This window comes from Homo sapiens, chromosome 9 (genome assembly GCF_000001405.40).
Source record: "Homo sapiens chromosome 9, GRCh38.p14 Primary Assembly".
Classification (NCBI taxonomy): Eukaryota; Metazoa; Chordata; class Mammalia; order Primates; family Hominidae; genus Homo; species Homo sapiens.
In genome coordinates, this window is record NC_000009.12 from 93,580,329 (window position 1) to 93,605,075 (window position 24,747).

The 24,747-nt window shown below is 51.0% G+C and overlaps 1 protein-coding gene and 1 non-coding gene across 5 annotated transcripts in view, besides 3 other annotated features; both read left to right on the forward strand.

Moving 5' to 3' along the window:
* PHF2 (PHD finger protein 2) overlaps positions 1-24,747 on the forward strand; it is a 103,004-nt gene that overhangs the window by 3,745 nt on the left and 74,512 nt on the right. The gene's annotated exons all lie outside the window — the stretch shown is intronic.
* Positions 7,881-8,381: an enhancer, noted in NCBI's record as "H3K4me1 hESC enhancer chr9:96350491-96350991 (GRCh37/hg19 assembly coordinates)". NCBI's record gives its function as "activates a minimal SCP1, AML or CMV promoter by ChIP-STARR-seq in primed H9 embryonic stem cells {active_cell/tissue: H9 hESC(primed)}" and the evidence as "EXISTENCE:reporter gene assay evidence [ECO:0000049][PMID:30033119]".
* Positions 9,419-9,713: a silencer, noted in NCBI's record as "tiled region #10393; K562 Repressive non-DNase unmatched - State 23:Low". NCBI's record gives its function as "represses a minimal TATA promoter and a strong SV40 promoter by Sharpr-MPRA in K562 cells {active_cell/tissue: K562}" and the evidence as "EXISTENCE:reporter gene assay evidence [ECO:0000049][PMID:27701403]".
* MIR548AU (microRNA 548au) lies at positions 14,513-14,566 on the forward strand. The gene has a single exon (NR_049853.1). It is a non-coding gene; the product is annotated as a microRNA 548au (primary transcript).
* Positions 17,859-18,440: an enhancer, noted in NCBI's record as "H3K4me1 hESC enhancer chr9:96360469-96361050 (GRCh37/hg19 assembly coordinates)". NCBI's record gives its function as "activates a minimal SCP1, AML or CMV promoter by ChIP-STARR-seq in naive H9 embryonic stem cells {active_cell/tissue: H9 hESC(naive)}" and the evidence as "EXISTENCE:reporter gene assay evidence [ECO:0000049][PMID:30033119]".

Here is a 24,747-nt window from a genome sequence, read left to right on the forward strand (position 1 = left end):
TGTCTGCCTCATTTGGTGGGGATGTGTCGCTCTGCACCGGCACTGAGGAGGACCTGTCCTCTCCTTTTAGGGATCCTACTCTTACATAAAGCCACTTGGGCCGTACACTGTGTTCCCTTGTGCCTGTGCCTTCCAACTGGAGGATGGAGACCAGGCCCCATGCCCTCCACTCCTGCCTGCAAAGTGAGCTGGCATCTCACTTTGTCACCAACTTACTTTGAATAATTTAAATCTCTGGGAAGCAGGAATGCTTCTGTTAAAGTTTTAAACATCCTTAACATGTAGCTTTCTGGCCCTCTTTCAGCTGCTTGTTCTATTGGACTGGAAGGGTTTTTGGAGGTGTAATCAGTAAAACTGACTTGAAAGAAATTGAAAGCTGTTCAGGTCACTTAAGTGACAGACATTTCATTCATACCTCAGTAAATATTTGTTGGGCTTGTATTCTGTACGGAGTTCAGAGCTGGCTGTGAGGGCCCAGGGGTTAGCCAGGCAGCTTCTCAGATTGGTGGCAGCCACCCTGGAGGGGGAGTGTCTCAGCAGAGGAGGGGCGAGAGTGGACTGAGGTTTTGACTGTCCCCCGTGTTGCATGTTGCTGTGGGGAGAGGTTGGGAGAAGGTTAGGGGCAGGGAGCCAGTGAGGAGGTGACTGTCACCCTGCCTGTGTACCCAGGGGGTGGGGAGTGAGGACTGGGGTCGGTAGAAGGGTCACATTCTGGAAGTGCTCAGAAGGTAGAGTGGACAAGACTTGCCTGGCATGGCTCCCTCCAATTCCTCTGTGTCCGTCTGTCTGTCTGGGCTCAGCCTGCCCTCCTCCTCAGGGCCCTGTCTCTGTGTCCACCTCCCTAGGGATGGAGTTGGCCTTTCTGGGCTCTCATTGTGCCCACCTAGTCTTAAGCTTCTTGAGGCAGAGCCATGTTCAGGGGCTACCTGGGAACACCAGGCGGGGCTGTGGCCTCGCGCTGCAGGCCAGCTCTGTTGTTGGCCAGTGGAGTGTGTGTGCGAGAGGGAAGGAGGTCCTGCCGTGGGTCAAATCTGGGTGATCAGAACTGACAGTTAAATCCTAGAACCTCAAATGCCGGGGAGTACTGGGGGAAGGGGCTCTCCTCATGGAGATGTTGTTGTGATGTGTTTAGGAATAAATCATTTTAAAACAAGGAATTCTCCCCCTGTGTGAGTTTTGAAAGTTCTGGAGGAGGTGGGAAGAATGTCAGGCCAGCTTCTAGAGGGTAAAGTAGACATCCCTCTCTGTCGATGCTTTCCAAAGGAGGTGTGTCTTGAAGGAAGCAAGGAGCTTCATCTTAATTGTCAGAACGTTTGCTATTATTGAATATACTTAATATTTGACTGGAAGTGTGCTTGATCTGAACTTCTGGACTGCAGCCCACGTTTGTTTGGGGCTGCTTGGGTGAAATGTGGCCACAGATGCCCTAAAATCTGGGCAGAGATTTGGGTGGACGCTGCCACCCCCAGGCATCCTCTTTTATGGCTGTCCCTGTAGTGCCTCGACATGTGCCAGGTCCTTCTAAAAGAGTGAGTTTTTCTGGTGGGAGCAAGTGTGGGCCAGAAAATAGTGTTCCGTGACACAGTTCTCTGGGAGAATCTCACTTTTGAAATTCAGGGTGTGGGTAAAACAAAGTCCATCTCTTGGTTTTTTTAAATAACAGATGGGCCTGATTGTGCTGCGGAAGCTAACATTCAGTCGGGGTTTAATGCCATAGGGGTTTTTCATTCATCATGTTTGGTTCCCACGTCGACTGCGAGGGGCAGATAGTGTGGGTCACCCTGTCACCTTCATTCCCAGCATGGACACAGAAGCAGCTAGGGCCTCTGTCACACACAGGTCTCTGGCTTCATCAGGTGCACTCTGAGCTGCAGCAGGTGGACACACTCACCTCCCAGAGGGTGCAGGTGAGGAGGTGGCACCTGGCTTAGGTTATTCTGGCTCAAGGGCCTGAGCAAATACCGGGGCTGATAACTGCTCGTGTCCATGGTTTCAGCAGTGTAACACGGACGGAAATGTAGTCACAGAGGAAGGCCACATACTGAGCTAGGGGATGGGAGGTGCTTCCCTGTCCAAGCAGCTGACTGCAGCAGCTCCCTCCTGGGTCTGAATATACCCAGTGTCTCTCAGGGTCTCTCGCTGTAGTGCCTCCCTCTCTGCATCTCTCCTTCTCTGTCCCCTAACTTCTGCCAACCTTGATTCTCAGCTTTTTGGCTCTGTGGCAGGTAGGTGGCCCTAGCTGTGAGGTCCAGAATGGGACTTGGCTTCTATGCTTTAGGGTACAGGACCTGTTTACTTTTCTCCTGGACCCCCCCGCCACCATAGTGCTGGGTCACTCACAGAAGAACATATGAACATATTTAGAATTCTAGCCAGTGGTTTGGATCTCAAAGCATAGGAACTGAAAAATCTTTGTGGTATCTGTCCCTGTCTATCAAAGCTTTCCAAAGGAGGCGTGTCTTGAAGGAAGCAATTTGGTGTGAGCCTCATCTTAATTGCCAGAATGTTTGCTTTTATTGAAAATATTTAGCTAGAAATGTGCACATGGGGAAACGAGCCTTTTACCTTTTTTAAAAATTGAGGTGAAATTCATATAAAATTAACCATTTGAAAGTGTGAAGTTGAGTGGCATTTAGTGTCTTCATAGTGTTGAGCAACCACCACCTTTATCTAGTTCCCAAACATCTTCCTCACTCCTAAAGTAAACCCGGTATCCAATAAGTAGTCACTGCCCTTTCTTCCTCCCACTAGCCCCTGACAACTAGCAGTCTGCTTTCTGTCTCTATAGGTGTGTCTATTCTGGATATTTACTATTTCATACGAATAGAATCATACAATATGTAACTTTTTGTGTCTGACTTCTTTCACTTAGCACAATATTTTTGAGGTTCATCCACATTGTATCATGTGTCTGTGTTTCATTGATTTTTATGGCTGAATAATATTTCATTGTGTGGATAGACCACAGTTTATCCATTCATCAGTGTATGGGCATCTGGGTTCTTTCCACCTATGGCTGTTGTATATGGTGCTGCTATAAACATTTGTGTATAAATATTTGTTTGAACACCTGTTTTCAGTTCTTTTGGATATATACTTGGGAATGGAATTGCCGGATCATATGGTAACTCTATGTTTAACTTTTTGAGTAACTGGCAAACTGTTTTCCACAGGGGCTACATTATTTTAAATTCTCCTCAGCAACGTTCCAATTTCTCCACATCCTCACCAACACTTGTTTTCCTAATTTTTTTTTTTAAATTAAAGCTATTCTAGTGGGTATAAAGTGGGATTTCCTTATGTTTTTGGCTAGCATTTCTCTACTGACCAATGATGTTGAACAGCTTTCACATGCTTGTTGGCCATTGGTATATCTTCTTTGGACAAATGTCTACTCAAGGCCTTTGCCCACTTTTACATTGGATTGCTTGTCTTTTTATTGCTGAAGTGTAAGAGTTCTTTATATAGTCTAGATACTGTATCCTTTTTTTTCTTTTCTTTTTTTTTTTTTTTTTTTGAGACGGAGTTTTGCCCTTGTTGCCCAGGCTGCAGTACAATGGCGTGATCTCAGCTCACCACAACCTCTGCCTCCCTGGTTCAAGTGATTCTCCTGTCTCAGCCTCCTGAGTAGCTGGGATTACAGGCATGCACCACCACGCCTGGCTAATTTTGCATTTTTAGTAGAGATGGAGTTTCTCCATGTTGGTCAGGCTGGTCTCGAACTCTCGACCTCAGGTGATCTTCCTGCCTTGGCCTCCCAAAGTGCTGGGATTATAGGCATGAGCTACTGCGCCCAGCCTAAGTGCTGTATCCTTATCAGATACATGAGTTGCAAATACATTTTTCCATTTTGTGGGTTGTCATTTCACTTTCTTGATAATGACTACTGATGCACAAAAGTTTTTAACTTTGATAAAGTCTGGTTTATCTCTTTTTTGTTTTGTTGCTTGTGCTTTTGGTGCCATTTCTAAGATTTCATTGCCTGTACAATCCAAGATTATAATTACAGGTTTACTTCTGTGATTTCCTTTAAGAGTTTTATAGTTTTAGCTCTTATCTTAGGTTTTTGATCCATCTTCTGTTTATTTTTGTAATGATGGAAGGTAGGAGTCCAGCTTTATTCTTTTGAAGCTGGATATCCAGTTGTCTCAGCATCATTTGTTGATGACTATTCTTTCTCCGTTGAATGATCTTGGCACCCTGGCCAAAAATCTTTTGACCGTATACACAGGGGTTTATTTCTGGACTCTCAGTTCTATTCCATTGGTCTATATGTGTCTCCTTATGCCAGTACCACACTGCTTTGATTACTGCAAAGTTGTAGTAAGTTTGAAAGCAGAAAGTATGAGTCCTCTGATTTTATATTCTTTTTCACTGTTGTTTTGGCTATTTTGGGCTCCTTGCGTTCCATATGAATTTGAGGATTGGCTTTTCCATTTCTGCAAAAAAACCGCTGTTGGAATTTTGATAGGGATTGTGTTCAGCCTGTAGATTGCTTTGTCATCTTAATAGTATTAAGTCTTTTGATCCATGAACGTGGGATACCTTTTCACTTATTTGTGTCTTCTTTAGTTTCTTTCAGCAGTGTTTTATAGTTGTTGGTTTACAAGTCTTTCACCGACTCAGTTACATTTATTCCTAGATGTTTTATTCTTTTGGACGCTATGGTAAGTGGTATTATTTTCTTAACTTCTTTTTCAGATTGTTCATTGATGGCACTTTTATCTTTTTTTGTAATCACCTTTTAATGTGTGATGACTGAATTTACAGAACTGTACATGCGCAGGGTGCTGCCCACCCCTGGCATGCTCTCCGTGTTCATGCATGTGCTGCTGTGTGCCCAGTGCATGCCTGCATGCTTGCGAAGGAGGGTCTTCTTTTTTAACCATAAGTATTTTTGCATCAGATGTCGAACTAGGCGTTTTCCATACATGTGTAAGACCTCTCTCATATTGTGTATGGGGTCCTCTTGTGTGGGTCTCCATCTCCTTTCCCTGACCGCCATCCTCCCCAGGGGCTATCTTTTTGGCTACATGCTTCACTGCTGAGGATCCTTTTGTGGAGCAAGGCCAGGGTTCTGGATTCCTAGAGTAGGGACAGCAAGCACAGTTATGGAGCAGTGCCAGCCGCTCTGTGTGGGCAGCACGTGGCCTCATTGATCTCCATGCATTAAGTGGATGGTTCTGCTCAGGTGGAGAGCATGTGTAAAGCCCTTGTTCATTCTTGTTCCTGACATGCCATGGGTAGGGCGCAAGGCCACAGTATTGGACAAACATGAGGATCTGATTGGCCTTGGAGAGTGCTCTGGGACCAGGATCTGACCTGGGGACTGATACACCCACCCCTGGGGCTGCCAGACTCAGGCATTGAACCCTGACCCCAGCACCTTCACCCCACAATTCCAGATCACTGAGATCTTATTGTAGCTTTGTGATTTTGTCCCTTATTTTACCCTTCCCCTTATAAAACCCCATCAAGGCGTATTCTGTGTATGAATCTCCGGGAAAGCTTGGGCCATTGGAAAGAGTAGTTGGGAAGCACTAACCAGGAACGTGGGGCCTGGTGGGAAGGCAGCGTCAAGTGGAGCTTGAGGCCCTTCCCTGCCAGGTTCCACCTCACCAGCAGGTCTGGGCTGACCTGCTTTTGCTGGAGCAATGGTGCAGACTGATTTAGGGGTTTAGGCCCATTTCCCTGAAGGAGAGACTGAGGCCTGGAGTCCTGAGACACTTGGTATCCTGGAACAGTATAGAAACTGCAGCCTTAGCTAGTCTTCTGCACATTGCCTGGAGAAGGGGTGAAGTGGGGCTTTGGGAGGGCTCACTGAACCCGGGGAGAGGGACCCCATGGCCCCGCATGAAGCAGCACACACAGGCTCAAATGGGAAGCAGTGGGGAGTCTCACTAAACCTTCCTTGGCTGGAGTCAGCCAAACATGAGGATTAGTTGCCCTTGGTGCTTGTGGAATCTCTCCTTGGAAGTGGGAGGCACTGTGGCGACCACTGCCCAGCAGCACATAGCAGAGGTGTGCAGAAGCAGCCAGGCAGGGAGAGGTTTTCTCCACTGTTTGCACCCAGCACTGGGCACTTCTGGATGCCACCCTGTTCCTTGCAGCAGCTCCCTGGTGGGCTTTGGATGGAGGGGCTACTCAGGAGAAGCCAGCTGGGGGAGGGCCAGCAGCCGGCCAGCAGCCCCCACTCCTCCCATGCCAGCCAACGTACAGGCCGGATGGGAACAGTCTGTGAGGCTTTTGTGCCACTCCTGGCTGCGCTTGGCAGCTCTGCATGTCACACATGAGGAATCCTGAGTCTCAAAATGGCCCAGGAATCCAGCATGAGCTGTGCTAGGAGTCAAGAGGTTTGCCACGACTGGGCTTGGTTCCTTGTTCATGAGCGAGCACGTCCCTCAGTCTGTCCATCTAGCTGGTGACGTTTCCTGAACACCAGGGGAGACCAGGCTCTGTTCTAGGCACGGGCAGCAGTGAGGAAGACTGCACGGCCCCTGAAGCTAGTGCTGGGGGACAGGGTTGGGGTGGCATGGCCCTCATCACCAGCCGCCTGCGAGTCTGTGCCAGAGCAGATTGGGGTGACAACAGACTGCACTGTGTGGGGTGAGGGGCAGCATGTGGCTGGCCCCCAAATGAGGGGAGATATGGTTAGGGAGGCACCTTGGCCTGTTGGCCATGGGTGGGAGTTACATTCTGGCCCCAGTGCAGGAAGATGAGGACAAGGCACAACATTCTTTAGTTTGCAGTCTGTAAAGTTCTCTCAGAGTTCTGTGGGAGGCATGGAGTATAGGGCAAGATGGAGAGAGGCCAGAGACTAGTTAGGGGCTGGCAGAGCCTTGGGTGAGGGATGGAGGAGCCTCGGGTGAGGGACAGAGGAGCCCCGGGTGAGGGATGATGGAGGAGCCCTGGGTGAGGGATGATGGAAGAGCCCTGGGTGAGGGATGACGGAGGAGCCCTGGGTGAGGGATGACAGAGGAGCCCTGGTTGAGGGATGATGGAAGAGCCCTGGGTGAGGGATGATGGAAGAGCCCTGGGTGAGGGACGGAGGAGCCTCAGATGAGGGACGGAGGAGCCCCAGGTGAGGGACGGAGAAATCCCAGGAGAGGGATGACGGAGGATCCCTGGATGAGGGATGGAGGAGCCCCGGGTGAGGGATGATGGAGGAGCCCCGGGTGAGGGATGATGGAGGAGTCCCAGATAGTGGATGGAGGAGCCCCGGGTGAGGGATGATGGAGGAGTCCTGGGTGAGAGATGATGGAGGAGCCCCAGGTGAGGGATGGAGGAGCTCTGAGGGGTGGGAGGGCTGGACTGGAGGGTGTCTAACCCTACCACCCTGCTTGCCAGGCACTGCTTCTGCCCGAGCTCCCCCAGTGCCAGTTGGAGGGTGGAAGCACTAGCTGCTATTTGGTCTGGAGGTTCTCATGGGACAGTGTTGTTATGTGACTCTCATGATCCCAGCCTGTGTCTGTGTAGCCAGCCCTCTGGTCCACCTAGTGGCCAACTGTCCCTGGAGCTGCCCATTGGCCTCACTGACCGTCCGTTCTCCAGCAGCATGGGCCCCCTGTCTGCTGGGTAGCCCTTGACCCTGCCATTGGCCGTCTGTGCCACCTGCCCACTGTGAAGGCATGTGACTTGGATCCTGGTGAAGGAGGTGGCTGTGTGGCGGGGTGGGCAGGTAAAGAAGCAGCACAGGGTCACCTCCCTGGAGGCCCCCATGACAGTGAGCTGGGTGCCTGGACTGTCGTGTGTCTGTGGGTCTGGGCGGCCACTGCACATCTCTCCCTGTCTCTGAGCAGCAGCTGGGGGCAGAACCACAGCTCTGCGGACCTGTTTATCTCAGTGCTTGACCAGATGCTCTGGGGGCAGGGCCTGTGTCCTGCACTGTGTGGCCCTAGGCAGGCAGGTCACTTCCTGTCGCAGGTGTACATCTGGATAAAGATGGTTCTGTCTTTGTGCCTGGTGGCGTTGTGTTGGGGACCATGGGACTGCGGGATAGAGGGGAGCAGCTCCAGGTGAGCTCTGGAGTCAGCTAGGGTGAGAGGTCCGTTCTAGCCTGGGGGCTGTGAGAAATGATTCCTCAGGCCAGACACAGCCCTTCTTAAAGTTAAGCCAGCAACGAGAATAACTCTCTTTGGAGGTCAGAGGGCATAGACCTGGAGGGAGCCTGTACCTGAGAGGCCCGAGTCTGTGGGACTCAGAGGATGAGCCCAGCCTTACTGAAGCTGCCCTCCCCACTCCCCTGCCATGCACTCCCTGCCCCCCAGAAAAACACTTTATGGGCTGGGCACGGTGGCTCACACCTGTAATCCCAGCACTTTGGGAGGCTGAGGCAGGCGGATCACAAGGTCAGGAGTTCGAGACCAGCCTAGCCAACCTGGTGAAACCCTGTCTGTACTAAACATACAAAAAATTAGCTGAGCGTGTTGGTGGGTGCCTGTAATCCTAGCTACTTGGGAGGCTGAGGCAGGAGAATCACTTGAACCTGGAAGGCAGAAGTTGCAGTGAGCCGAAACTGCGCCACTGCACTCCAGCCTGGGCAACAGAGTGAGACTCTGTCTCAAAAACAAACAAACAAGCAAAAAACACCCTATGAAGTCTCTGTTCGTGGCCCTGAAGGCAATGCCAGGAGTGACCTGATGGTATTTATGTTTAGGGAAGTCCCTCTGGCCACTTGAAGGGCCATCCTTTACTCCATCAAGTGAAGAAGAGAGGGACCTTGGAGGCAGCAGGAAGGTGAAGCCGCTTTCCCAGGACCCTCAAGGTCCAGGGATTCTGAGGCTTAGTCATGTCCTGGTATGTCTCTTTCTCTAGTTCCTTCTACAAAGCAGCTGTCCCAATAACAGTCCTGGGAAGGAACCAAGTGCTCACTGAAAGTTTGGAGCAGGAAGCTTTATAAGCAGGCAGATTTGGGTTCAGTTTGAGGGAAACCTTTCTAATAATTGAAACTGGCCCCACAGCAGACACTGTGTAGGGAAACTGTGTGTGTGGTGGGTGGGATTTCTCAGCCTCTGCACGGCTGACGTCTGGGCTGGAGAATTCTTTGTGTAGGGGCTTTCTGTGCGCTGTAGATGTTGAGTCCTGGTCTCCACCCAGCAGGTGCCAGGAGCACCTTGCCGCTTGCCCCACGCCCACATTTGACAAGCCAGAGTGTCTCCAGAAATTGCCAACTGTCTCCTGGGGACACAGTTATACCCAGTTGAGGGCAAGAAATGACTAACCTGTTGAATGTATTGTGTCTTTATCACTTGGAAATTAAAGTCAGTGACCCACCTGTCTTTTCTTATATTTATTTATTTTGATAAGGCATCAGCTACATTTATTCATTTGAAATTGTTTGATTGAATTTATTTTGCAAACAGAACATTAGCACATGGTAAGAAAAATTTTAAAAAGAGTGAGAATTCGAAAGAAATGCAGTGGAATGCGTGCCTCTCCCCTGTCTCCCCGTTCTTCTCTCTGGAGCGGACTCCCAGCTCCAGTGATGTCTCATGTTTCCACAGCCACCCCCTTTCCCTCTCTCCACACAAACAGCAGTGCGCTGTGAATGTGATTCTGCAGTGACCCTGGGTCGTCACTCTTGACTGCTGGGGCTCCAGCAAACATGCTCCTCCTGCACTTCCTGCTTCCCCTGGTTGGCATGTAGCTCATTTCTCATCCGAGGCCACTGCGGTGTTGCTCCCTGGCTATCCTGGTCTGTATGTTTTTGTGCATGTATGCATGTATATCTGCTGGATATATTCAAATAAGTAAAGTTGCTGGGCTGAAGGATATAGCATTTCGGATTTTAAAATCGTCAGATTGGTTGTACTGATTTCTCTACACACTGGGCAACACATTTTCTGAGCCTTTGATCTTTGTCAATTCAACCAGAAAGGTGAAAAAGAATACCTCACTATGGTTTAATGTGCAGTTATCTAATTATTGAGTTCACTCACTTTTAAATCCTTTCCTCCCTAGAGTTGTAGAGTTGTGTCAGTAGCCCTGGTGCTTTCTAATGAAGACAGAAAAGCAGGTTTTCCCTGAGAAGTAGATATGAGAAGGGCGCCCCACTTTGATGGGCTGGGAACAGGCCCTTCCACTCTCTCCCACTCCTGCCCCAGAGCTGGTGGAGCCCCACAGAACTCCAGGGCAGGTGCTTCCTGGATGCTCAGTCCACAGAGGTGGAAAGCTCATCTGTTTCCTAAATACCCCTCTTTGTTTGACTCTTGTTGTGAGGCCAAGCCTCATTTGCTTTATTTTCCCCATAAACTTTTAATTTTAGAATTGTTTTAGATTTACAGAAAAGTTGTAAACATGGTACCAAGCATCTCCACATACCCCGGCCAGTGTTCCTGAATGTGCACATCTTACATCTCCGTGGCAGGAGCCAGTGTCCATTCCCACCAAGGAGGCTGCAGGCTTGCTGGGGCCACAGTCCTCCCTGCAGCATCCTTCCCCTGAAGGGACCACCCCAGAGGCCATGGGCTGGTCCTCACGTCTCCTCAGCCCCTCTGGTTGTGGTGGTGGTTTCTGACTCCCCTTTGTCCTATGGCCCTGGCACACATGAGCAGCACTGCTGAGATTTGAATATCCCTTTATGATTTGTGTTCCTTTGAGGGGCCGCTTCTCCCCAGATGCCTTCACACACCTCTGGGTGGCTCCCCAACTTGAGTGTGGACATCCCAACAGCTCCGGGGCCATACTTGGCCTGGTTAGGTGGCAGACTGCTGTGACCCTCCGAGGGATCCAACATCACTCAGCAGACATGTGGTGGGTGAGGCCCTGTCATGGGGGCCAGCAGCCGTGCCTCCTGTGACCCATGCTCACTCACAGTCTGCTGGGACTCAAGGTCCCAGCACCCCTCTCCCCACTGACATTTGTCTGGCCCTGACCGTGTCTGTCATAACCACTTATGGCCACAGATGCTTTTTCCTGATCATAGTTTCTTCTAGATGCCAAATGTGTATTATTTTATTAGATTTTAAACTACTCTTTGGAAAGGAAGATGTAATGAAATTAGTCTTCTGAACTCGTCTCTGTTAAAAGCCAAGTCTAGTAGAACAGTTTGGGATTGGGCTAGGCACCCATTCAGGAGCAGGCTGTACCGTGGCCTTGCTGCACGGGCACCTGCCTCTGCATACCATGTGAGTAGGACGTGTGGACTGGGGGCGTCTCAGGGAGCAAGCCTCTTTTCACAAGCGGGAAACTGAAGCTGCACAGTGAGTTAGGGGCAGGGTGGGGACCAGAGTCCCTGCTTCCTCCCTTGACCTATTCTTTCCCTTACACTGAATTTTTTTCTCTGAATGAAATCACTGTAACAGAATTCAGCTTCGATCCTAGGAAGACTCCAGACCCTGGGCAGGGTCCATGTGGGTGGGGTGTCCTGGCCTACATGTCTGAGTGCAGGGATCCCCTCTGCCTCTGGCCTTGATGAGTGATAATCTACGTCACAGCTTCCCTAGCAAGGGAGTCAGAGGAAGAAGCCCGAGAGAGCATCTGTCAAGAGCCCAGTGCCCCACAGGGACCTCAACCCCAGATGCTTGGCCGTTGCTCGGGGACCTAGCTGTGTGGCCTGCTCCTAGTCTGGCTGCTCACCTGCAGAGGCCTTGAGGCTCTGGGCTGTGAATACATACCTGCCCGAGGGCATTGCTGGGAGAGCCAGCTCCTTCCCCAGCTGCTCAGCGCCCACTCTGCTTCCTGCCTTCTCTGGTGTTTGTGCATTTCACTCTTTACCCAGGGGTCATTGTAATTCTGCCTTAACCAGGGACACCTTGGTCCCCATTCTTGGAGGTCCCCAGTCCTGCCACCTTGTGATGGGTGGCAGGGCCAGGGGCTCTCAGTGTGCACCTCCCAGGAGCCCTTTTTCACTGGGGCCACACTTCTGTTCCTGGCCTGCTGGGATCTCAGGGTCTTTTTCTCAAACTCCTGGGGGATCCCTGGGAAGATAGTTGCCTCTGCAGGGGCTGCTGGTCCCCACTGTGGGAGCAGCGGGGTGATCCCAGGCAGACACAACACTCAGGGCGGGCCCATTCTTTACTCATTTGGGGAGCGCAGCATCATTGCCCCCATCACTGACCTGTTTAAAATTATCTGCATCCTTTGCCTAGTGATTTAAGCCATAGGTTCTTGGTGAAGTTCCCCTAGCAACACTTGGCAACCTGTAAGTTTTACCAATTGCTTGGTAAGAGAGTGTTTCATGGCAGTTCCTGGAATATCCCGCCTGCTGGGTGGAGCTTAGGGACAAGACTTAATGCTTGTGGTTGCTTGGTGAGTCTCTGTCGCTCAGTGTTCAGAGGCTCTTTCCCGAGCCAAAGCGTGCTGTTGTCCGTCCTTTCTTCTCTTGGTGCCAGTGACCTGAGGTGTAACTGGGGTATCTGAGCTGATGTCTGCCACCTGCAGTTCATCCGGTGAGCCAGGTTGTGTCCCTGTTTTATAGATGTGAACACTGATGTTCTGAGTGGCTCAGGAGCTGCAGACAGAGGGGGCCAAGCACCAGTACGTGGCCTTGCACCTTGGCTCACAGTCCACCTGGCTGTTGTTAGAAGTATTGCTAGAGAGGCCCTAGCTGGTACCATCCCAGCCTCATAGCCCCAGACTCCCTCTCCAACTGGAGGACCACAGCTCTGTCCTAATCCAGGCCCCAGGCCCTGCAGCTGTACCCTCAAGAAGTCTAGGGCAGGGCACATCCAGAGGTCCTTGGAGGGAGGGCCTCAAGCTGCTTTTGCCCATCCAGGTTTCCACATCCTAATCTTTGCTTTTCTTGTCCTTTATGCCAAAAAAAAAAAAAAAAAAAAAAAAAAAGAAAAAAAAAGGACTAAGAACAGATGCTAAACTGTTCCAGCAGGACGGGACATGGCAGCACCCCCTTCCCTGGAGTTGTTGGGAGGGCCTCCTTTATTTCCATTTTCTATTCCAAAGCTGACCCCTGAGGGCTGCACCCCCTGGACCCAAGGCACCTGCCAGGTCATTAATTACCCTCCAGGGTATGGTGGGGGCTGAGGACAGGGCCCTCACCTCCCTTAGTCTAGAGTTCCTATTTCTGTTAATATGACCTCGGACTACATTTGCTCTCTGGTCAAATTTGTCTTGTGTCTCTGAGGCTTTTATCCAGATTGAAGGCTGTAATTCCCAGAACTTCCCAAAGGAGATATTTGCTCTACATCTGCATACAATTGGTTTCCTTAGAAACCACTGGAGTATGCTCCAAAACCTGCTTTGGATTTTTTAAAGAGACCATGCCCTTTATCTGTAATATCTGTTAAAAATCCACCATAACAAATTTAAAAGTATATAAAGAATGAATATTTTAGATATTTATTTAATTTATCAAGAATTCTACACTGTTGAATGATGAAGTTGGGATGACTAGGCAAATGACAGTGTCCTCTTGTAAATCGGAAATTATGCAGTCGTCAGCAGTGATGTTTACAGCAAGGCTTTAATGCTATGGGGATATCTTTATGATGATATTAAATGAAACACTACACACATAATGTGATGGCTGGTGTCAACCAATTAAAATGGAAGACGGTCTAGGAGGGAATATGCCAACATGTTAAAGGTTAAGATTACGTTTTTCCTACCACTTTTGTACTTTTCTGTACATTCCAATTTGTTTTCCAAGAGCTTAATACTTTTATAATCAGATATAAAGTAAGCAAGGGAGTAAGACCATCAGGGTTTAGAGGTCATATTGCCTGGCCTCCTGTTTTACAGATTTTATGGACTGTGGGTTTTATAGACACTGGGGCTTGGGTAGCTCTCTCTGCTGCACAGCAATTGGCCCCAGGCCTCCCTGAAGGAGCTGTGGTGGGTGAGGACACCTCACCCTTCCGGAGATATCTGCCCTTCCGGCACACCCCCTCTTCTCATGTGACCCCCCCCCCCTCCATTAATGCACAATGCACATTAGCTTAGTCTGCAGCCTATCTGCCTGTGTTGGCCAGAGCTACCCGAGGGCCCCTGTGGGTGGACAGGCCATTGACCATGAGCCTGCATGTAAGAGTTTTCAGTTGAAAAGGGCCCCGCCCAGTCAGCCCCTCCCCTGCTTTGGGAACATTCCAGGTCGGGGCGGCTCCTGTTCCCAGCCTCTTCAGGCTGATAGGTTCCTGACTCTTGGGTCAGGGATGGGCCTCCCATGGCACCAGGAGCAGCCACCACTTCCCAGAGCAGCAGGGCGTGTCACAGCTGTCATCGGGTGTACTTCCTCACCCCAAGGGTCTACTGCAAGTGGGGATCCCAGCTTGTGGACACCTGCAGAGGACCCCACAGGCTGTGTGAACTGAGCTTCCTCTGGCACTGCCCTCCTGCTGATTGGCAGCTAAGCTCCCAGTCACTGCTCCCAGTGACAGCATGAGTGGGAGAGCACATTGGGACCTTGTGCCTAAAACATGTGGATTGCAAGGTACATGGGGGTTTGACAGAAGATAGGACCGCTGAGGAGAGCCCAGTGGACACCAGCCTTAGTCCACACCGGCTGAGGACACAGACCAGCCTAAGTTCCAGTCTGAAGATGTTATTAGGTTGGTACAAAAGTAATTGCGGTTTTTGCTATTGGTTTTAATGGCAGTTACTTTTGCACCAGCCTAATATCATTCTGAAGGAATTATGTATCTTCATTTGAAGAATGGAGATTCTTCCTGCACAGGCTTTAAAGGAATACTTATAGTTACTTAGGTACTTACAGATGCCAATCACCAGCAGGTACTCAGGTACTTACAAATACTAAAGGAATACTTACAGATACTTGGGTACTTATAGATGCTAAATAATTACTAACAGGCATTTGGGTGCTTATCTTTAAAGGGGTACTTACAGATGCTAAATGATTACTTGCAGGTACCCAAATACAGATGAGAAATGATTAGTCATAACTATTCAGGTATTTATAGATACTAAATAATTACTTACACATACTTGGGTACCTACTGATGCCAAATTATTACTAACAGATACTTGGGTAATTATAGACACTAAATGATTACTTATATGTACTTAGATACTTAGGGATGCTGTGTGATTATCTGTGGATGCTCAGATACTTACAGATACTCTTCACCTGGAGGTAGAGAGTAGGGAAGCCTGACGCTACAATATGAGGAGCCGCTTTCAGTTGAATCTACTTTAGGAATGACGGTAAGGAATTTATGAAAATATAATGTAAACCTGAAGAAATTTAGGATTTGGAGTCACAGAAGATATTTCCTAGTTGTCTTCATTGTGTGACCACTCATTGGCCCAAAGCTGTGTCTGGAATGCCTGCACATATGTCTGAGCGTTGTGCATGGCTCCTCTCTGCATGTGCAGACACACTTTATACACAGACCGAGATTTGCATCTTCTGTGAACAAGGATGAGTGCGGCTGTGCATGCGCCCACTGGGCATATGTGTGTATACATACCTGGTTTGCAGGTAAATATGTGCGTAACCAGAGATGCCTTCCTCTTGATGGAACTTCCCTGAGGATGCTAGACCTGGATTTCCTGAGGTGGATTTCATGAAACAAAAAGTCAACATCCTGATGTTAATCCATTTTCTCTATAATCCCTGAGTGGGCAAATTTATAAGGGTTGTGTTAATGTTAGTTTTACTCCTGTCTCACAGGCACTGGTGATACTGTACTCTTTCAGGTTTGATAACTAGTCTTTGAATTCTTATGTCTGTGGCCACCAGCAGGATGGGGCATTTCCCAGTTGCTGGCTTACCCACGGTCTGTCCTCATGGGCGAACTGCCCTCCCGGCTCCACTGCTCTTGGCCTCTCTGGTTAAGCTGGCTCTTCCTCTTCTGTGTGCTGGGTCTAGTGGCATATGAGGCAGGCCGCATGGAGTGGGGGCTGTCCTGGGAAGCTGACCTCAGTCCAGCATGATACTCTGCACAGCTGTGGGTTAGGAGGAGGTTTCCCTGTTTCTATTGGGACCCCCTGTGCCCACGAGTGGAGGGCAAGCTGCATGTCACCTGGATGGCAGCTGGAGGAGTGGAGCTGACTGAAGCTTCATTGGGGCCCCTGCATTTTTCATTTAGCCCAAATTCAGCACCAGGGATCAAGGCTCCATGGATGCTTGAAGGAATGAAGGAGTGCTTGAATGAATGAAGAAATGCGTGTGCACTGGCCAGCTGGTGTGTACTGTGATGTCTCAGCCCTAAAAACCTGCCCTTCTTGAATATGGTGTGCTTCTTGGTGGGCCAGGTTTATCCTAGTGGGAGAGCCAGCACCCAGAACCTTCAGAGGACTGGGAGTCGGGAGGGGCAGGGCTCGAGTGCTACTCCTTTTTGTAGCAGGAAGAGAGGCTGTGTGGTGCTGGAGGGCTTCATGATCACTGGCCTCCTGTGTGCCTAGGGAGCTTGCTTCCCAGGAAGGTGTTGATGCATGCAGCTGAGCATGTGTCTCTGGGCAGAGTCAGGCAAATTGCACCTTCATGCCTCAGTGTTTCTGCCGTTTTTTTTTTTTGTTTTTTGTTTTTTGTTTTGAGACAGTCTCACTCTGTTGCCCAGGCTGGAGTGCAATGGTGCAATCTTGGCTTACTGCAACCTCTGTCTCCTGGGTTCAAGCGATTCTCCTGCCTCAGTCTCCTGAGTAGCTGGGACTACAGGCACGCGCCAGCACGCCCAGCTAATTTTTTTTTTTTTTTTTTTTTTTTTGAGACAGAGTCTCGCTGTCTCCCAGGCCGGAGTGCAGTGGCACGATCTCGGCTCACTGCCAGCTCTGCCTCCCCAGTTCATGCCATTCTCCAGCCTCAGCCTCCCGAGTAGCTGGGACTACAGGTGCCCGCCACCACACCCAGCTAATTTTTATATTTTTAGTAGAGACGGGGTTTCACCGTGTTAGCCAGGATGGTCTCGATCTCTTGCCCTCATGGTCCGCCTGCCTCAGCCTCCCAAAGTGCTGGGATTACAGGTGTGAGCCATCGCGCCTGGCCTCTGCCAAGTTTTAAAAAATCTTAAAAAGAGTGCCTGGCCATGGAATCTGGCTAGGCTGCAGGAGGGTCAGGCATTCAGGGTCTTTGGTCTTAGCTTCTCTTTGCTCCTGGGACTCCACACCCTTTAGCTCTGAGAAGTGGGAGGCTGAGCTGCAGAGACCATGCAGACCCTTGGGCCACTGGGCTTGGAGGGAGACTGTGCAGGTAGCCTCCCACCTGCTCTCTGTCAGGAAAGGAGAGCATGGTGGGCTGACCTGGTTGAGAGTGTAGGGCCCTGGAATCAGTCAGGCTGTGGGGCAGGAAGCGGGGTTGGGGGTGGCATTGGGGGCAGGCAGTGGGACATTGGTCCACAGCATGGCTATGGCTTGGCTGCTCGGCTTGAGTTTCAGGGTACAGGTATGGTTGAGTGTTTTACTGCCAGGGAGGAGCCTGGTGTAGTCCTGAGGTGAGGGAGGCTCATCCCCATGAGGCTGGAACCTACCCTTAGGCCTATGTGGCACTGCAGTCACCTTGCTGCTGAGCACCTTTTCATGTGCCCCTTACATTTGTGGGTTCTTCCAGCCTCCCTTTTGAGAACAGTGTTGGGAAGTATCTTATAGCCAAGATTGGGGGATTTTTAAAGAACTCTCCCCTCTTCCTCTCAGATCTTCCTTTAATTTCCAAATCCCTCCTCCTCCCCAGGAGAGCATCTTGGCCTGACACCTCTACTCCTCTGGGCACTCTGGGGTCACTCTGATGGGCAGGGGTCCTCAGGTCAACATGGCACATTGGGGGCACCTCTGCCAGCTCAGCTGGCCATCAGTGGGCTTTATGGGCCGGCCGAGTGCATTTTGTTCTGGCTGAATGGTCCCCAGCTGGGGTGGAGGCTGGCAGGCCTGCCCCTGCAGCTCCTCAGGCCCCTTGCGGGGAGGCCTGCCATCTGCCTGGTGACACCCCAGGGATGGGGCTTGAGAAGTCCAGATGCCTCTAAGGAGAGACAGGAAAAGCCCAACTCACGCCAGGCATGCAGCACACTGTGGACGGGTTATTTTGACAAGTGAGCATCAGACTTAGCATTTAATCGCGATTCACTCCCAGCCAGTGAAGAGGGCCGTGCTGCGGGAACCCTGCCACTGCGCTTATCATCAGGACCTTGGTTCTCATCCTACCAGAGGATGGCAGTCCAGAGGGACATTGGGTGTTTGTCGGGCTGTCAGTCCATGGGGCCCCGGGGGGCTGGATGTACCACCCTTCCATAAGTGGCAGTTTTGAGAAAACAAAGCTGCCAACCCCCGTCAGAAGTGGGTTGTGTCCATGATAGTCCTGGCCTCTGAGCCACCCTTGTCCCATCACCTGCTAATAGCAGGCATGGTGCAGGCATTCTGTCAGCCCCCCACCCTCCTAAGAGGTTGTTCGTGAGTATCAGGGCGGGGGTTCACCCTGGCAGGCCCCACTGAGGAGGGGCATCCACGGGGCCTGGGGCTGGGATGAGGCTGTACTTTGACCATTTTTCCTCAGTCCCCATCCCAGGCTGCTGACAACAAGGCAGGCAGGGCAGGGCTCACATGGAGGCCCTTGTTTCTTTAAAATTTTCATTTTAATCACCTCCAGCTCATACAGGAATGCATTCCCCTAAGAAGCCCATCACCACATCCTGTAAGCCCCTCCCCGTAAGCCCCTCCCTTCCTGTTGGCCTCCACACCGTTATGGGCTTCCCACTGAGCCCCACCTTTTGACGTGGCTGGTATGTCCGTGTGCGCCCTTGGAAGCAGCATTGTTTTGTACTGTGCGTGCCTCTCAGACATGATGTCATTTATTGCACTGTTGCTCAGCAGCCTGTTTCTTGTGTCCAGCACAGGTCTCAGCGAGCTAGTCCCGTGTCCATCTCCATGGGTGTGGCTTTCATGGTATCCCAGGGACCCTCTGCCAGGGAGATGGGGAAGTACCAGGTGGCCTATTGCATGCACCTGCAGGGGCTCTCCAGGGTGGGTTCCGAAGAAGGCCTGCTGGACCTCGGGCTGCTGCTGTGTTTATTTTTACCGTCATCGTCTTCATCTTCAAGGAGCAATGATAGGCAGGGATTAGGTGGCACTGGTGTGGCTGGAGAGTGGCTGTGCCCACTGGGAGGTTGCCCTGCCACCACGTTGTGGGCTGCTCTCCCCTCTCAATTACCACAGGCCAGCTCCTGTTGCTCCAGCAAGCCCAAGAAGTGGGACCCCATTGGGATCCAGGCAGGGGGTTCCTGACAAATTCCAAATGACAGTGGCAGAGGTGGTGCGAGGAGATGGAGTGCGTGGAGGTTGGAAACAGTGATTTTAGAAAACAAGCCAAAGAGCATGCCACACTCACTGCCTGAATGCCAGTGTTTCAAAACCAGGAACAAATGCCGGTGAAGCAGCTCATGGGGGACTGGCCTCTCAGCCGAGATATTCGGTGGTTACCTGTGAGTTTCACCTTTCCTGGACTTCACTAAACCATAACATGCCACCACGAGGGCTGATGTGGTCCAGCACCTCATTTCACATGTGAGCTGCTTGCAGCAAGGGGGATTCGGAGCACGAAAGGGATTTAGAGGCGCCGGTGGGGCCAGGTGTATACATGATGCCCAGCCACGCTCCCAGTTCCGTTGATCTGAAACTCGTCTGACTGGGTGTCCTGTGGTTTTGTTTGCTGAGTCTGGCCACCCAGGTGGAGACCAGCCCTTTGTCTTTATCAGTGAAGACTTTGAGGCCAAGAAAGATAGGACGTCCACGGCCCTCATGCTGCCCAGGAACAGCCCCGGGGATTCCCCTGGCCCCCAGCTCCATGCAGCCTGCGTGGCCAGGTGAGAGGAAGTCCCTGCTGTGCTTGTGGGTGGTGTGTGGCATGTGTATGATGTTTGTGTCTGTGTGGTCTGTATGTGTGTAGTATGTGTGTGGTATGTGTGTAATGTGTGTGAATGTGTGTGGTGTGTGCAGTTTGTGTGCTGTGTGTCTGTAGCATATGTGCATGTGTGTGTGGTATGTGGTGTGGTGGTGCATGGGGGGTGTGTGGATGTGTGTCTGTGTGTGTGTGTGTCACCCTGACAGTCTGCTGGAGGCCCTGGTCCTAAGTGTTAGGCACCTCACATTTCTTCCAAGGGGAAGAGGCAGCTCCTGGAGGGCAGGGCACTCAGTGTCCAGAGCTGCGTCTTTGTGATCTCCCAGTCCGATGCCTGTCCTTATCTGTGGGGACCCACATTACCTTAGCCACACTGCTTTGAGGGGGAAAGGCCCAACATGGGACGGTATTGCAGTGTGGGACAGCTTTGCAAGCTCTTGTAGCTTGGGACAGCTTTGCAATTCAGATCTGCTCAGCCACCTCAGGTGTGACCAGAGTGAGCTCTTCACCTCTCTCAGCCTCTTCCTGCTCACCTGTAAAATGCAGATGACACAGCCATCTCGCAGGTTGTGGGATGGTGGCCCTGGCATGTGGGAGGGCTGGGTAAATGGTAACACAGGCTCCATGCTGTGGCAGGAAGCAGCTGGCACTGGGGGAGGGGAGCTCGGCCCAAGCAGCCACACCCAGACCCTGCCCTGAAGGGGACTGCTGCTCTGCTGCGCTATGGGGAGGCCAGCCTCTCATTCAAAGTCTAACCAGGCCTGATCCTGCTTAGCTTCCAAGACTGGACCAGATCTGGTGTGTTCAGTGTGGGGTTGCCATAGATGATCTGAGCCTCCTAATGCAGGTGCTTGTCCACCACATTCAAGGAACAATTAACTTTAAGTTTGTATTTCTGGATTTATAAATGTTAAGAGTGACTTCAGAGAATGACAGAATTCTCTTGCAATAACTGAATAGCCTTCCGTTGTGCTATGGTGGTGTAAGGGTTTCCTTCTGTAGTTTTTATTAATTAGCACAAATGACTTTGTCCCGTGAGTACTTACATCCCCTAGGAGAAAAAAAGGCATATTATCCTTACTTCCCCTGCTATTTGTGTTCAAGAGTGTACAGAGCTTTGCATTCCCATCTACTGAAACCGTGCAGATTGGCCGGGGCCCACCCAGGTTTGGCTGTCTGCACATATACAGCCAGGGACTCCAGCCCATGGTGGGAGCCTCTTGAGGGCCCCCAGTGGCAACTGTGTCAGAAAGGGACATTGTAAGTAGCATAACTTTATAAAATAGTTAAGGTTGGTTCGGGCTTGAGAGGGAAGGAATGTCAGACACTACAGTGGTGCTAAGTTTGCAAACAGGCTGTGGCAGGTGGAAAACACACCTAAGAGGGCCTAGTCTTTTTTTCCCTTCAGTGTCTTTATTTGATAAATAAAAGAGGAGGAATTAGCCAGTGGTGGACTTAAGCAAATGTTTTAGATTGGCATTTTGGGAGGGCTCTGTGTGGTTGGCAGGATGGTTGGCACCCCCAGGCTGGCCCACTGCTGCGAGGGTGTCTCCGTGGTCCCAGGGAAGATCAGGGGATGGCTCAGTGTGCAGGGAGGGCCTCAGCAAGGTCTTGGGAAGGTGTGTGCAGAGCCCCTATGAATCTCGTGGATTGCTTGCTGTGTGCTGAGGGCTGTGTTTAGGCACCCCTGTCCCTGGAGGAATCAGTGGCTCATTAATTTCCTGGAGCTCCACGGGCAGAGCAGCCAGGGTCCCTGATGAGGGTGACAAGCAATGGGAGGAGGCTTGTGGCTTGTGGAAATGGAAGGGAGCCCTGTGAGTGTGCAGGTTTTCTCATGGGGATCTCACGCCCAAGGATGGGAGTGCGGGGGTGGTAGGGTGGGGTGGGGGTGGCCAGCCTTTTGTCAATTCCACACCATCACACGGCCATCTGTCCTCCTCTCTGGAGCTCTTTTTCACCTGTCCTTCTTCTTCCATCCCAGTGGCTCCTAACTGGGCTTTCTCATCCTCTACCTGCTTCTCTGTGTCCCAGCCTGGGTTGTTTCTTCAGATCTCTCTTCCAGTTCACGAGTTCTCTGAAGGTGGTGGAACTATCGAACAAAAGTATGTAAATTCTTCGTTGAGTATGTAAATTGTTCGTTGAGTTTTGCATTTTAAAGTCATTTTGCATTCCTAGAGATTCTTTTTTTTTTTTTTTTTTTTTTTGAGATGGAATCTTGCTCTGTCACCCAGGCTGGAGTGCAATGGCACGATCTCGGCTCACTGCAACCTCTGCCTCCCGGGTTCGAGTGATTCTCCTGTCTCAGCCTCCTGAGTAGCTGGGATTACAGGCACACACCGCCACGCCTGGCTAATTTTTTGTAATTTAGTAGAGATGGGGTTTTACTGTGTTGCCCAGGCTGGTCTCGAACTCCTGAGCTCCGGCAATCCACCCACCTCGGCCTCCCAAAGTGCTGGGATTACAGGTGTGAGCCACCACACCTGGCCTCCTAGAGGTTCTTGTTTATTGACTTTGATCATTTTTTTCTAGCGTGTGTGAATGTGCAGTTCCCTGTTTTGAATTTTTTTTTTCCCAGCAAGCTCATGGTTATGCCTGGGTCCTAGCTGTATGGACATCTCTGCCACCTGGGACCTCGGGTGCATGGGAAATGCCAGAAGCATCTTTTTAGATTCTCTGGACTCACTCTTGGGGGCAGATTGCCAGGAGTAAGGTTATTTGGTCAAAGGATTGTAGTCGAGTTTTATAGCTCATTTGTTGTGATGTTGCCCCTCAAAGGGTCACTTAGGTGTGGCCTAGCCTCAGGGCAGACTGGTGAGGCCTGCATGAAGAATGGAACCTTCTGGCTCTCCCAGAGCCCGAGGCTGGGAGCCCTACCCAGGGGTCTCAGGATACAGCAGGGCAGAGGTGAATGCTGTGAAGCAAGGGAACCGCTGAGTTGCTTGGACTGGGAGGGGGGCGCGGAGGTGGGGGCCAAGAAATGTAGTGGGTGACCAGGTCTGCCCTTTCCTCTCAGGGCCCTGGGGCTTCAGCGGTTGCTGGGCTGGATGATCACGTTCATGCCATGAATCTTGTGGATTCCGTGTTGGTGCCGAGGGCTGGGCTCTGCCTCAGTAGGCTATGTGGACAGGAGGAACAAAGGCCAACCTAAACACTTGCTTTCTATGATCCCGGTCTGAGAAAAGACCCCAGGGTCAGAGGCACTCGGATGGCCCAGGAGAGGCCAGTGACTGCACGCTGCCCTCCCGACCCCGACTTAGCTGTGGTTGTCTACGGCAGGGAAGGCTGGCATTTCCGGCGACAGAGTTTAGGGCATTGACAAGCAGTGGACACGGTCTATGTTGTTGTGGTTATTTTTGAGAAGCTCATGGTCTTCCCAAAGTAATGCTGGCTCTGGACTCCTGTAGGACACACTGCTGGGGTCACTGTTCCCCTCTGGGCCAGCCCTCACCTTGGGACCTACAGCTGCTGATCTCTGTCTCTAGCCTCTCCCTGCTTAAGTCCAGTTGTGGAACATTCACCCACGATGCAGACCTTATGGGGCCTGGGACACCCGTCATCTGCAGATTCAAGGGGGATCTGACCTCAATCTGCTGTCAGGACATGCTGGGTGCTACCCTACATCACTGCCAGAGCCACCTCAAGGTGCACATTCACCTTTCTTTGCCTGGTAGCGCCCCTCATCTGCACACCTACCTACCTGGGGAAGCCTCATTCATCTGTCAGGACCAGCCCCAGCATCGCCTCCTCCCAGAGGCATTCCTCTCTCCCATGGCATCCCCATAGGGTTCTGTGTGCCCTGATACAGTGCATTCTCCTTAAATGCTCACCTTCAGTCTGAGGCCTTGGGGCTGGCTCTGCTTGGCCACCTCCAGATCCCCCAGCCTGAAGCCTGGTTCTGGCCCCAGCAGCCTATTGCTGGAGTCAGGAGACGGCAGTGTGTGCCCATTGGCCTCTCCTGGACTGTCAAAGTGAGCATCTCTGCTGAGTTGGGCAGAGTCCCAGCTTCTAACTCTGGAAACAGATGGGGGAGTGCAGGGAGGCACAGAGGGGATTCTGAGATGGGGACACCCCTCTGAGATGGGAAAAACAGGTTGATGTGTGGTAGGGAAGAGGCCTGCAGGGCTGAGGTCTGGGCAAGGGTGGCATAGTGCAGGTGCCGGGGACCGAGTGAGTGAGTTGGCTCTCGACTCCTGGGTGTGGGAGGAGCCCTGGAGGAGGAATGGGCTCTGGCAGGGGCAGGAGGCCTTGCTGTTAAATTTAGCGAGACTTCTTTTTTTTTTTTTTTTGAGACGGAGAGCAAGACTTCTTTATATTCGTAGAGGATTTAGAGGATTCTGAGATTCCATAGCAGCATGGTTCATGATCTCCTGAATTCAAGAAACAGAATTTCTTTATTTTCTTTCTTTTTTTTTTTTTGAGACAGAGTCTCGCTCTGTCGCCCAGGCTGGAGTGCAGTGGCGCGATCTCGGCTCACTGCAAGCTCCGCCTCCCGGGTTCACGCCATTCTCCTGCCTCAGCCTCCCAAGTAATTGGGACTACAGGCGCCCGCCACCACACCCGGCTAATTTTTTGTATTTTTAGTAGAGACAGGGTTTCACTGTGTTAGCCAGGATGGCCTCGATCTCCTGACCTTGTGATCCGCCTGCCTCGGCCTCCCAAAGTGCTGGGCCACCGTGCCTGGCCCAGAATTTCTTATATTCTAGTGCTCATCCATTTGCATGCCCATTGTTATTTTAAGTAATACCTGAGATAGAATCCTTGAATTCTGAGCCTTTTTTTTAGCATTTCCTTCATGAGATTTTCCCATCTGGGTAGTTCTTCCCTTTATGTCTTAGCATTCCCACCCATGACCACTGATGACCCCACATTTCCCCAGAATCTTTCCTTTAGGAAGCATGTAGACATGCACACAGAACTTCTTCTACGTGATTTATTTTTAATAGACTTAAGTTTTTTAGAACAATTTTAGATTTACAGTAAGACAGAGTGAAAAGATCGAGAGTTCCCAC